The sequence below is a fragment of the Homo sapiens genome, chromosome 8 (genome assembly GCF_000001405.40).
Source record: "Homo sapiens chromosome 8, GRCh38.p14 Primary Assembly".
NCBI lineage: Eukaryota > Metazoa > Chordata > Mammalia > Primates > Hominidae > Homo > Homo sapiens.
In genome coordinates this window covers 79732396-79747223 of record NC_000008.11, presented here as the reverse complement: position 1 = coordinate 79747223, position 14828 = coordinate 79732396, and the positions used below count along the sequence as shown (strand labels likewise).

The 14828-nt window shown below is 41.1% G+C and overlaps 1 annotated feature.

Moving 5' to 3' along the window:
* Nucleotides 9105-9284: an enhancer, noted in NCBI's record as "active region_27548". NCBI's record gives its function as "activates an Ori minimal core promoter by ATAC-STARR-seq in GM12878 lymphoblastoid cells {active_cell/tissue: GM12878}" and the evidence as "EXISTENCE:reporter gene assay evidence [ECO:0000049][PMID:35858748]".

Sequence of the window (14828 nt, the reverse complement as noted above, 5' to 3'; positions counted from 1 at the left end):
AGTCTCACGAGATCTGATGATTTTATAAAGAGGAGCTCCCCTGCACAAATTCTCTCTTCCCTGCCACCATGTAGGATGTAACTTGTTACCCCTTGCCTTCCACCATGATTGTGAGACCTCTCTAGCCATGTGGAACTGTGAGTCAATTAAACTTCTTTCCTTTATAATTATCCAGTCTCAGGTATGTCTTCATTAGCAATGTGAGAACAGACTAATACAGTCACTTAGCTGGAAACAGGGATGTGTGACTTGGCTAATCAACCACTTCCAGTGTGTACGCTTTGTTTTATCACTAGACTGAAAAATTAATTTTCTGAGGACTTGGGATTTGTAAGACCTCCAAAGTCGATGAAATCTATTTACTGATAAATATTTTGTACTCTTTTCATTTCTTCTTTTTCTTCTCTTTTTTCTTCCCTTCCTTGCCATAAACATAGCTATTACCTCCAAATGTTTTCTCCTGCCCTCTATATTTTATTATTTTATGACAAGAACACCTAATATAAATTCTACCCTCTTAGCAAATTTTTGTTAACCATAGGCATCATGTTGCATAATATATCACTAGGACTTATTGCTTATGTAATTTTAATTGTCACCTGCTACATTGGTGACCTTCAGACTCTTTGGCTCTGATCCGCTCCCCTTTTCTAGAGTCCCATGTTCTGTAATAATAACAATATCAACAACACTGACATCTGTAGCAAAGATCATTGTATGCCTACTATAATACTCATTCTCTCCTTTTTAAGTGAGAGAATCTCAATATTTTATACAGGGCAGCAATGCACCCTGTCTTTGAAGCCTCTGCTTCATTTTAGGTATGATTATGGAACTAAATTCTACCTGGTTAGCTGTCATCAGAAGTGCTTTTTGAAAGCGGAGGCAGAGGGGCACTTTAATGCCCTTTCTGCTTCTTGCATATGGGTGTGTTGGCTGAAGCTCCAGAACTATGCTGGATCATGAGGCAATGAGCTAAGGATGGTGGAGCCAAGAGAGAAATATCTGGATGTCTGATGTCCCCAGCACTGCCCTGGACTGATCGCCTCTGGAGTTTTATTGCACAAGAGAAAAAGAAACATTTATGTGTTTAAGCCATTGAATCATTTTGGCTTTTTAGTTATTCTAGCTGAATCAAATCTTACAATTGGTGATATTACTGACTAGATCCTAGGTGTCAGGCACCATGACTCTTTATATATATTTTCTATATATATATATATAGAAAAGCTCTTTATATTTTTTTCTAATTTAATCCACTAATCTTTTAAGAGAGATTCTATTATTAGTCCCATTTTATAGATTTTAAACATTAGGCTTAAAGACGTTAAGTCACTTGTTCAAGATCCCTCAGCTGGTACATTCTGGGGCAGTATTTGAACTTAGGCAGGCAGAGTTCAGGAATCTGACCCTCATTTCTGGTATCTTGAAGACATCACTCTTTTAAGTTGTTCCCTTGATATCAAGAGCTAAGAAGATATATTTTCTTCCTAAATTAACCACAACTCTGTTTTGTATTTCTCTGTTATTATTGATAGGGCATAGACACACCTGCCAAAAGATTTTAAAACCTCCCCTCCTCAACCCTCCTTTCTCAGGAGATGCAGGCTGAAAGAGAATTAAGGAAATGATCCAAGGCGATGTTCCTAGACTTTCGAATGAAAGGACTAGGTTTTTGGGTTTTTTTTTTGTTTGTTTTTTGTTTTTTCAGGTGATTCTATTGATGTAGAGTTTACAGCCTTATTTTTCAAAGTAAGAATATTAATAAACTGCAATCTGCCATGAACATCATTTTACAAAAAAGTAAATTTTCATGAGAGAGAAAATGATATAATTATTAAAAAGAGCAGTTCTTTGAGCCAATTAAATTAAATTATAAGGTTAGCATTTTAAATACACTGCATTATCTTTTTATTTCTTCTTCTCTCATTTTTCCAGGGACTAGTGTAAATGCCATCAGGATCTGAGAAACCTTTATTTAAGATTGCAAAGGAGGGGAAAGTGCTAGAACAATTGCCTCAAATTGCAAACCAGGCCAAACAATGATGAACAAGGGTGGCAAGATTGCTATTTGACACCAATATCCATTCTCCTTTTCTTCCTTAGTAAAAGGACCCTGGCTTTTACTTGGGGGCAATATGCCCAGTTAAAAGAATATGTATACTTTCCTGCAGGTAGGTCTGGCCAAGTGACTAAATTCTGGTCAATGAGATATAAGCAACATATTAAGTAGGACTTCTAGGACAGCACTTAATTGGGCTCAGCTGCAAAGGGGACCCACTTGTCTTCCCAGGCTTTCTCTCTCTGCTAATCTAGGAGAACACTGCGGCTGGCATGGTAGATTGCATCTATCATGGAGTGAGGATGGCATTGCTGAAAGGTGGCCTCCCGTGTCCCTGATGACACCTTGGAGCCCCGAAAATAGCCTGCCTTTGGACTTCTTTTACATGAGAGGGAATTTCATCTTAAGATACTATTCTCCTCCTCCTCCTCCTCTTCTTCTCCTTCTCCTTCTTCTTCTTCTTCTCCTTTTCCTTCTCCTTTCCTTTTCCTCCTCCTCCTCCTCCCCATCCCCCTTCTCCTTTTACTTCTCCTTTTCTTTTTGTTTTAGAGATAGGATCTCCCTATGTTGTCCAGGCTGGTCTTAAACTTCTGGACTCAAGAGATCCTTCTGTCTCTGCCTCCCAAAGTGCTGGGATTACAGGCGTGAACCACTGTGCCTGGCTTTATTTTTTTCTTGTTACTTGTTTCCACTGCTAACCGACATAAAGAGATAAATGAAAATCCATTTTGGACAAAGCAATCATTGTAGTGTTAGAAAGAATTCAAGAGATCAACTGTTTCATTTATTGGGAAGAAAATCAGAGCCAGGGCCGCAAAGTGACTTGCTCAAAGTCACATCATTCAACATTCCTGCTATAAATATTTGCTGAGTGTGTCCTATGTGTGAGGCTCTTTGCCACAAGCTGGGGTCACAAAGATGAAGCAGGGCATGAATCTGGCTATACCCAGACTCACAAAATGGGGCTAGACAGGCTGACGGCCTTTCTCCCTGCATTGTGCACCCAGCACAGTCTCTGGGGTGGGCTTTATGGTAGGTTCTGTCCAGTGACCCCCAAACCAGGGTCTAGGGCCTCACTCTGGGGAAAGATGGGTGTGGGTCAAAGAAGGAGGGTCAAGGAGCCAATCACCTGGGGCTGTCTTGTAAGTTGGAGAAGAGCAAAAGGAGCAAGAAAAGAAATTATAGCATTTACTTTTGTTGTATTCAAGACTAAAGAAAATGCGTACAGAAAACCACACAGACTTCCATTTCTCCTGAAGTAACATGCACACATGAGTGTCAAAGCACCTCCAATCACAAATGCACACTCATAAATGCACATATTCCCAGGAAACCTTTGCAGGATTACGTTTCTTTTGCTCCTTTAAAAACGTCTCGTGTGTTTGGGTGCATGTTTATGCGGCTTATGTGGAAAGGGGGTGGAGTGGAGGCAATAATACAATACAGTTTCTGGGGGCCCCTGGGGAGAATTTCTGAATTCCCTGGGATAGGAAGTTCCCTAAGAAAGCAGGAGCCACTTAAATTCCCACCAAACAACAAAGCTCATGCAGCCAAGATAAAAGGAGAGTGGGGGAGGAGAGAAAAAAAAACACACAAAACACCTCGCTCTGGTTTAGGGAAGCAGGTGCACCCAATACAAACAATATTATTTCTTCTATTATTTGTAGAGTTTAGGAACAAAACAAAACAAAACAAAACAAAACAATACTCAACTCCTCCCCTCCAGGCTGAGGGGAACCTCCAAAAATGCTCAACGCAACAAGATAAAAAAGGCCGTTTCTCACCATATGTAACAGCAAAGAAACTAAATTTAAAACTAACAAACACAAAGAAAAGCCCCAGACTACCAGACAATTAAGAACATTGGGCTAAACCAAGTTTAAAGGACACGACATTTTACCTTTTTGTGTGTTTGTGGTCAGCCTCCCATACTGTCATCAGGGTTAATGAAGCTTAAGTGGCGCATTTCCCTGCTACTTACAGGCTATCTGCAGCTTTAAAACGATCAACTGAAGTTCTGAGTCATTTCTGTTTGTATTTACACGGTGCTTGCTGCAAGTATGTAATGCATCAGGGGAATGTGGCCATCAGGAACACAGGTAAAATCAGAAGCAGGTGTACAGTGGGGCTCCAGGGCCCCCCAGTTGCACGGACTCCTTCTGAAGCCTGGGAGGGCTCTGGCAATGTGCCCACTGGTCATATATTTTTGTACAATTTGTAAAAATAAATTATTTTTTCTTGGCAGGTTGGGGGAGGAAAGCATCAGGATAAATAGCTAATGTACATGGGGCTTAATACATAGGTGATGGGTTGTTAGGTGCAGCAAACACACCATCACGGCACATGTTTACCTATGTAACAAACCTGCACATCCTGCACATGTATCCCGGAACTTAAAATAAAATGGTGATTCATGCCTCTAATCCCAGCACTTTGGGAGGCTGAGGCAGGTGGATCACGAGGTCAGGAGATGGACACCATCCTGGCCATCCTGGCCAACATGGTGAAACCCCGTCTCTACTAAAATACAAAAAATTAGCCGGGCGTGGTGGCTGGCGCCTGTAGTTCCAGCTACTTGGGAGGCTGAGGCAGAGGAATCACTTGAACCTGGGAGGTGGAGATTGCAGTGAGCCGAGATTGAGCCACTGCACTCCAGCCTGGTGACAGAGCGAGGCTCAAAAAAAAAAAAAAAACAAGAAAAAAATTATTTTTCTGCACTTTATGTGGACCCCCAAATTGTATCAATTTCAAGGGCTAGAAAACCTGGATCTATCCTGAGTGGGCTTTGTTCAAACTTCCACAAAAAGCTTTTTCTTACTGAAAAATAAATCCCTTCAGTTCTTAAGGTGCAGGAATTATAATGACATATGAACAGTGTGTATCCAAGGCTGGAAGTCCCATCTGACAAGCTACCCTGGGACAAAAAGTTGGGGAATGAGAAGATTGAAGAAATGTTACTTGGGGAACTCGGGTGAATTTGGGTGAGAGGTCCCCTTGGATAAAGGTAGTAATGTTGGAGGCTTGGATCTTTCACCTGCTAAAACCCTCTAATTCTTGTGCAGGGATCTGGGCTAGCTCTCTGGCATTTTATCACATAGTATTTTAATAATATTTTAACCCAAAATTTCCGGCTTGAGGAATCGCTCTTCATTTCTGCTGCAGGGTCGGGTGGGGACAAGAGCCCTCAGTCAGATAACCCCAGCTGGCTCTGCCCAAGCATGCAGGCAGGGGAAGTAGCCGATTTATGGAAAGGACTCAGGCACCTTCCGGAAAGTACTCAAGAGGAGAGGGAACTGAGAAAAACAAGGACAAGCAGCCTTGGAAAACGAGGCGTTGTTTAGAATACAACCAGTGTCTGTTGTTTAGATTCTCTTCCAGCTCAGTCCCCAAGGACGCATGCCAGGGCCTTCAACAAAGAAGGCCCAGAAAATTTAAAAGGCATTTTACTAGGACCATATGGTGCTGCGAACCCCAGGCTGAACCACAACCTAATGTGATCTGAGAGGAAAGGTATTTTCTCCACAGGTCACTCTCAAAGCTGGGTGGAGATTGGAACAGCCTAGACCCCGAGAATGGAGTCTTCTGAGCACAGAGGATCTGGAAAGGATTCAGGGAGGACAAGACACCCCTGTGGTCTCTGCAGCTTTGAGGTGACACAAGCAGCTTGGTAGCAGCTGCTGAGCAGGAGAGGAGAAAAACATCATCTTGAGGCTAGAGGAACATGTGAGCTGTCCCTGGGACACTAAAAGAAACTGACCCAGAAAAATCGGGCTTGAGAGTAACTACCACAACTGGCACAACAACATCGTGATGATGATAGTTGAATAATCTATACCATATCATAATGTAATCATTCATAACAGTGTATGATTGCCATGGGCCAGGCATTAAGTTAGCTCGCTGTATCCCTCATCTCCTTTAACCTTCCCTGAACAATGAGGTAGGTTCTGTTATTGTAGCTGGTCTACAGATGAGGAAACCAGAGAAGGCAAGTAAGTTGCCTAGAACTAGCACACACCTAGTAAGTACTGGGGCTGGAATTCTAACCTGTATGTCTCAATCTTGAGCCCACCTTCTTAACTGCTGTTTACATGGTAGTGGGAACAAATGAAGCCAAAGAAATAGTGTTTTGTTCCGCTTATTGCGAATTTATTTTCACCACCAGACTGCTGGTATGACCTGGAAAATATTTAATATTACTATAAAAGCTAATGTGATCACACATCTACTCGTTCAAAAACATTTATTGAATGCCTATAACTGAGCTCTGGCATATGCTGACTGGTGGAAGCTCTGGGCTATCCTTCCACTTTAAGGAGTTCTCATGTTAACATTCTAAAAAATCCATGTGATAGCTGAGCTCTTAGATGTTTCCTATTATGAATTTTTTACAATTTCTCCCTTCTAGGCATTTTTATTTTCCATAATCATAGCTTTTGCCCAATTCAATCTGAAGTAGAAACCACCTTCTTCATTGGGTATGTTTAAGCAATTGGACCAAGGGTAACCTTAGTTTATTTCTAGAAAGGCAGGCCAAATTGTGAAGGTTGAATTGTGCCTCTCTGACTGAAAGGAGGAAATTGAAAAAATGTTCTGCCAAAACGTGCTTACTGATTAACTGCCGTTGTATATATAAGAGTCAAGGTTTATTGTCTGCTTGGAGAACTCAGTCATATATAACTAAAAGTCATCAGCCTGTACAGGTAACTTATACTGATTAGTGAATATTGCATCACTGTTCTAGCAAAGAGGAACTAATTTTAACTTCATGAAGGCTGAGAATTCTTTTCTATGTACCATCCCTGCTGATAAGATAGAATCTATTGAAAATGTAATGTTGCTCCAGAATTTCCACAATTCAAAACGTGATAGCTGGTGAAGGTTTGCCTGCTGAGTGAGAACATAGTTTGGCATTTAAGTTGTCCTATTGTTTATGACTTATTTCACGGAAACATTGACTTTGGAAAGGCACAAGCTGTGATTCTGACCATTGGGGGTGGGGGAATCAAAAGTTTAGGGGGAACCTATTCTGTTCTGGATAAAAATAGTCCTACTCACTCTATTGCTTTGCAAGGAAAACATCAATTAGATTGAACAATGTTCCCTGCAGAACGTAGATGCCGCGTTGTCTCTGGATAACTCCTTTGAATTTGCTTTGGACTGCGTTGTGTCTTCTGTTGGGAGGAAATTATCAACAACAAGAGGAAATCCTGTACTAGTATTGAATAGTCCTTATTTTAAAGGTACTTCCCTTCTTGTGGGAATTGTATGTAATCAGAACAACACTATAAAATGTCTGAATTATTGTACAAGGTTTGACTTTCAGCCCTATTTTTTTTAAAAGATCAACTTATTGTGCTTGAGATAGAGTCAATTGTTGGGCTAGAGAGCATTCTTCTCAAGCGGCATGAACCTCACCAAGGTGGGGTGGAGGTTAAAGCAGCGGCCGCAGGAAGCAGGAGGTCCTTAGAGACACTCTTGTATTCTAGAGCACACAATGACTAATAAATGCTAAAATTACTCTGGAAAGAGCCCTTTGAGTCACAAACATTTGCCCCTTTCTGAGCAGAGCTGACATAGCTTCAAGCTGGGGGAAACTGGGTAAGGCTGCCTATGATTCTCTAGAGGCCTTTTGGTTTGGCCCAGCCAAAGAATGGGGGGATTTGAGACAAATGGGTCTTGAAGACCTGGGGTAGAAAAAAAATTTCATTTACTCTTCTCCTTCTGAGAGTAGTTAAGTATTACCTGTGGGCAAGAAGCTGCTTAGAAACAGAAGGAGCCCAACCAGCAATTCCACTCCTGGATATTTATCCAAAGGAAATGAAATCCCTATGTTGAGGTATTCCGCACTCCCATGTTTGTTGCAGCACTGTTCACAATAGCCAAGATTAGGAAACAACCTAAGTGTCCATCAACAGACGAATGGATAAAGAAAATGTGGTACATATAGACAATGGAGCGCTATTCAGCCATGAAAAAGAATGAGATCCTGTCATTTGTAACAACATGGATGGAACTGGAGGACATTATGTTAGTGAAATAACAGGCACAGAAAGACAAACTTTGCATGTTCTCACTCATTTGTGGGACCTAAGCATGAAAACAATTGAACTCATTGAGACAGAGAGTTAGAAGGAAGGTTACCAGAGGCAGGGAAGGGTGGAAAGGGGTGGGGATGGTAGAAATGGCTAATGGATATAAAAATATAGTTGGACAGAATGAATAAAATCTAGTATTTGATAGCACCACAGGGTGACTATGGTCAACAATAACTTATTGTACATTTAAAAATAACTAAAAGTATAACTGGAATGTTTATAACACAAACAAATAATAAATATTTGAGGTGATGGATACCATATTTATCCTGATGTGATCATTATGCATTGTATGCCTGTGTCAGAATATCTCATATGCCCCACAAATATATACACCTAAAATGTACCCATAAAAATAAAAAACAAAAAATAAAATTATATAAAAAAGAAGGAACCCACGAGAATAGTCTTTATCTCAAAATCTTACTTCTCTGGTTCATGAAAGTGATAAGCAGTGTATAAGGGAGATGCCTGCTACCATGGTCTGGGTGCTGCCCCATAAGTGTAATGCTTCTTGAACTTTCCTGCTGAGGCACTCCCAGCAAGAGGAGGATAAACTGGTACACTTTGAGGTACACTTGGCTCAAAGCAGCCAGGTATAAGCACAAAGTTCTTTGAGTTTTGTCTCTTATCTTAAAATTCATGAGGCTCTGGTATTCCACTGTATCGTATATCAATGTTGACTTCAATATAAGTTCAATAAAGCTTCCTGCAATGATGGAAATGTTCCATATTTGCACTGTCTGATATGTAGCCACTAGCCACATGTGGCTATGGAGCACTTGAAATGTTGCTGGAGTAACTGAGGAACTGAGTTTTTATTTTAATTAATTTAAATTTGAATAGCCACATGTGGCTAGTGGCTCCTATAGTGGACGGCACAGCACAAGTGGATATATTTAGCCTCAGATTTCTTAGTTCAACAGTTATCTCCCAGGATAAGTACTGGCCTAACAGCTCAGTCATGGTCTGCCCATGGGTAGATCTAGAAATGCACAAGCCAGTTGCAATGCTGACTACCTTGCCTTTTTCCCTTGTGGCTCTTGGACTCCAGACAGAGGTGAACACCCACCTGCTGGCAACTTCTCTGTGTGTTGGTCAGCTCAACTCTTTCCTCCGAATCACCTCCCAAGTAGCAACCATGTAATTTCAGGAAACCCAAAGCAACTCTTAAGAAGGGCAACGTGAGTGATCCTTGCACAGGGTGCTGACCTGAAACCTGAAACCTCTGTGGTCCTGTTTTTCATTTCTCAGGGTGAGGGTGCCTTGCATTTCCACCAGGGAGCCCTGAAGAATAGTTCCTGCTGCCATTGTCCTCTGCAGAGAGCATCCTGCAGTTCCCACAGCAGGACTGCCGCTGCACTTAGGGCTTGCCAACATTCTTCTGACTTCCAACCTGTCTTCAGCAGCGGGGGTGCTGGTTTCCCTTCATATTCTTCGCTCATGGAAAGACCTAAGCTGACTTATCTGTAGACTGGGCCATTCTCAGGTACTCTTGGGCAGTCTGCCAGATTTCTTTTCTTTTTTTTGAGACAGGGTCCCACTCTGTCGCCCAGGCTGGAGTGCAGTGGTGCGATTTCGGCTCACTGCAACCTCTGCATCATGTGCTCAAGTGATCCTCCCACCTCAGCTTCCCGAGTAGCTGGGACTACAGGTGCGCGCCACCGGGTCCAGCTGATTTCTTTTTTTGTGTGTGTTTTTAGTAGAGATGGAGTTTTGCCACATTGCCCAGGCTGGTCTCGAACTCCTGGGCTCAATGATCTGCCCGCCTCCACTTCCCTCCCTGCTGGGATTATAGGCGTGCTCCATCGCTCCCAGCCTTGCAGGATTTCTTTCTCTTCTTACCAGTCTCATGAATTCTGTTCTGTAACTCCCAGCCCCCACATCGAAAGGGTAAGCTCAGAGCAAGGAAGCCTAGAGGCGTTTTATACCCCCCGATTTTCTGAACAATTCTGATAACTATATAGTTAACTCAAAAGCATCGGGAAATAAAGCATCCTGATTAATAGACAATTTTAGCATACTGAAACTAACTATACCTGCCAAATGTAGGTTAGCCAATTTCCAGAGAATTCAGCACAATAAAACAGTCTTAACAAGGAAGCTATGCTAAATGGAATGCAATCTTTCTTTGGTGGCTTAGAAGGCATTTTGGGGTCTTGCAATGCCTTAGAGTCCTCATTATGAACAGTAATTACCCTTCAATTGTGCAGCATGGAATAATTATGTTTATCTTAGTTTTCCAGTGGGTTGGATTCAAGATAAACAGATGTTTGCTGCAAATAAAACAATTTCTAATATTATTTCTAATACTAATTACATTTTAACTGTTTGGGCCCTATGCGAATTAAAATTATTATGTTACATTACTAACATTAATATTGTTCATACGGAACATTTTAAAATTTACTTATATGTTCTAGGAATTAAGCTAAAAATGTGAAAACACTCCTTTTAAATAAAGGTGTTTTTCTGGCCAACATGGTGAAACCCTGTTTTCAAAGTTTTACAAAAAATTAGCCGGGCGTGGTGAATCTCCTGTAATCCCAGCTACTTGGGAGGCTGAGGCAGGAGAATCGCTTGAACCTGGGAGGCAGAGGTTACAGTGAGCCCAGATCACACCACTGCACTCCAGCCTGGGTGACAGAGTGAGATTCCAACTCAAAACAAATAAATAAGCTAAACTAAACTAAACTAAACTAAACTAAAATAAATAAAGGTGTTTTGATGCAACAGGTGCAATCTAGAAAGTTGAGTAGAAATCAGGCTTTTGTAGAATGAATCATGTATAAGAAAATGTATTTTTTAAGATGATGAAAATAATGTGTTCATCATAATAAATATGAAAAACATTGAAGCAATTTTTTAAAAGATCTGTAATCTCATCACACAATAAATAACAACTAACAACTGTGTTTATTTCTCCCAGTGCTTTTACTATGCATGCATTGTAAACAGGTTTTTATATTTTTATAAAACAGATTTATATGAAATATACTTTTCTTTTCTTTTTTTTTTTTTTGAGATGGAGTCTCGCTTTGTCACCCAGGCTGGAGTGCAATGGTGTGATCTCAGCTCACTGCAACCTCTGCCTCCTGGTCTCAAGTGATTTTCATTCCTCAGCCTCCCGAGTAGCTGGGACTACAGGGTGTGTGCCATGACACCCAGCTAATTTTTGTATTTTTAATAGAGGTGGGGTTTCACGACAAGTTGCCCAGGCTAGTCTCAAACTCCTGACCTCAAGCGATCCACCCACCTTGGCCTCCCAAAGTGCTTGAATTACAGGCATGAGCCACTTCCCCCGGCCATATGAAATATACTTTCATATCATACTTATTTTATGTAAGATTTTGCCATGTCATTGAAAGCCATTTTAAATAGAAACAGTGTAATTTATTTAACCATTTCCCTTCTTTGACTTTTTTTTTCACCTTTCTCACTATAATGTATAATGATGCTGTGAACATCCTGTTCGTACATTTTGGAGTACATCTCAGGTTATTTTCTCAGCATATATTCTTAGAGATATTATTTGCAAATAATGTGAACATTTTTAAAGCCCGTGACGTGTCTTGCACAATTGCTTTCTAAAAAGATTATACTAGTTTACTCTTCCAGCCACTGCATGTGATAATGTCTCCTAGCACCATCTGCAGGACAGGAGACAGTATACCTAATGGTCACAGCTGAAGCAATGGAACCTGAGAGGTTTGGGTGGGCTGGCCTCTACCATTTTCTAGCTGTAGAACCTGAAGCAAATTATTTAATTGTGAACCTCAGTTTCTCAGCTGTAAATGAGTTGACAGGACTAAATGAGGCAATGATAAATCACTTAGCACATTATTGGATATATAGTAAGACTTTATATTAGGTATAAGAATTATTGGTAGTAGGCCGGGTGCGGTGGCTCACGCCTGTAATCCCAGCACTTTGGGAGGCTGAGGTGGGTGGATCACGAGGTCAAGGGATCGAGACCATCCTGGCCAACATGGTGAAACCCTGTCTCTACTAAAAATACAAAAATTAGCTGGGTGTGGTGGCGCATGCCTGTAGTCCCAGCTACTCGGGAGGCTGAGGCAAGGAGAATCGCCTGAACCCAGGAGGCGGAGGTTACGGTGAGCCGAGATCGCACCACTGCACTCCAGCCTGGTGACAGAGCGAGACTCTGTCTCAAGAAAAAAAAAGAAGAATTATTGGTAGTAAAAAGATCTATTCTGCCATTCTAATGGACAAAATGGTATCTCATATCATTTTATTTTGTATTTAAGAACCTTAAAATTAATAATAGTATTTACTTTTATATTATTACAAAAGCAGTCCTAGAAAGATTAGGAAATACTAATCAGCACAAGAGGGGAAAATTCATAATCTTTAAAATCTCAACTTTTTGCTATATTTGCATTGCACTTGCTTTTTAGAGGATGGCGTTATTTTATGGACAGCTTTCTTAATTTATTCCACAGTCATTTTTCCATTCTTTTTATGTTGTTACTTTTCCTGTGTCAATATCAGTAATTAAATTTTCCTAGACAAACACTCATTTTATAGAGACTTCAAAATTATCTAGTATGGAGGTGTACATAGTATTCTCTTTAAAAGACATCTCATAATGGCAGTGCTATTTTCTCATAACTTGCATTTATGACCTGATGTTAGAGAGCAGGAGGGATTGAAATCTTCCTACCTTCTTTCAGATGGGCAGGTTTACTCTGTTTTAAGTTGCTTTGCATTTGTGGGCCAGGGAACATGTTTCTACATCCAGTTCCACTGGTCTTGAAGTCCTTGAAAATGCCTCCCAATTCTGGTGGTCACTTGCATGTGGCCCCCATCTTCAATATGCAATGCTTTCCTTTCTTCCCTACCCTCCACTGGCTTCTTCACCTCCACCCCCATGACTCATCTCCCACTACTTTTCTGGGAAGTTGGGAGACGCTGTCTCTAACTGTTAACCTGATTCTGTGTTTTACCAAAACCCAGAATATATCTTGAAAAGATATTTTAAAAAGGAAAGAAAAATGATATTTTTCTCTGTTCTCTTAATTTATCTAGGTTGACTGCATTTTACTATGATTAATACATAGGGAAATTAAAAAAATTAATCTTCTTAAGAATTTTACAGTTTACTGAAAAAAGAAGACACATATACACAAAACTGTAATTCAATGAAGAAAGTGTGATGTGCTATAAGAGAAGATGCTAGGTGATATAGTTTGGCTATTTGTCCTTGCCCAAATCTCATGTTGATTTTTTTTTTTTTGAGAGAGAGTTTCACTCTGTCTCCCAGGCTAGAGTGCAGTGACTGTGATCTTGGCTTACTGCAACCTCCATCTCCCAGGCTCAAGCCATCCTCCTACTTCAGCCTCCTGAGTAGCTGGGACTACAGGCACATGCCATGGTGCCTGGCTAAATTTTGTATTTTTGTATTTTTTTTGTAAAGATGGGGTTTTGCCATGTTGCCCCGGCTTGTCTTGAACTCCTGAGTTCAGGTGATCCGTGCACCTTGGCCTCCCAAGTGGGATGCCTCCCATATCATATGATATCATGATATGATAGTTCATGATATCAGTTATGATATCATAACCCAGGCAGTTCTCATGAGATCTGTTTGTTTAAAAGTGTGTGGCACCTCCTGCACCACCCACTTTCTCTCTTGCTCTTGCTCTACCATATGAAATCCTGGCTCCCTCTTCTACTTCTCCCATTAATGTAAGCTTCCTGAGGCCTCTTCAGAAGTAGATGCCAGTACCATGCTTCCTGTGCAGCTTGCAGAACCATAAGCCAATTAAGCCTCTTTTCTTATAAATTACCCATTTTCAGACACTTCTTTATAGCAGGGCAAGAATGGCCTAACACAGAAAATTGGTACCAAAGAGTGGGACATTGCCATAAAGATATCTGAAAATGTGGAAGCAGCTTTGGAACTGAGTAATGGGCAGAGGCTGGAAAAGTTTGGAGGGCTCAGAAGAAGACACGAAGATGAAGGAAAGTTTGGAACTTCTTAGAGACTGGTTAAATGACTGTGACCAAAATGCTGATAGTGGTATGGACAGTGAAGTCCAGGCTGCCAAGGTCTCCGATGGAAATGAGGAACTTATTGGGAACTGGAGCAAAGGCCACACATGTTATGTCTTAGCAAAGAGCATGGCTGCATTGTGTCCATGCCCTAAGGATCTATGGAAGTTTGAACTAAAGGGTGATGATTTAGGGTATCTGGCAGAAGAAAGTTCTAAGCATCAAAGCATTCAAGATGTGACCAGGCTGCTTCTAACAGTCTATGCTCAAATGTGGGAGCAAAGAAATGACTTAAATTTGGGATTTATACTCAAAGGGATGCAGAACATAAAAGTTTGAAAAATTTGCAGCTTGGGCATGTGACAGAGAAAAAAAAAGCTTCTTCAGGAGAGGAATTTAAGCAGGTTAAGGAGCAACCACTTGCTAGAAATGTGCATAAATAAAAGGGAGCCAAATGTTAATATCCAAGACAATGTCCCTAAAGGCCTTGAAGGTGTTTCAGAGATCTTCTCAGCAGTCCCTCCCATTGTAGTTCCAGAGGCCTGGGAGGGAAGAATGGGTTTATGGGCCATGCCCAGTGATCCATTGCCCTGTGCAGCCTTGGGACACTGACTCCCACACCCCAGCCACTCCAGCTCCAGCTGGGGCTCAAAGGG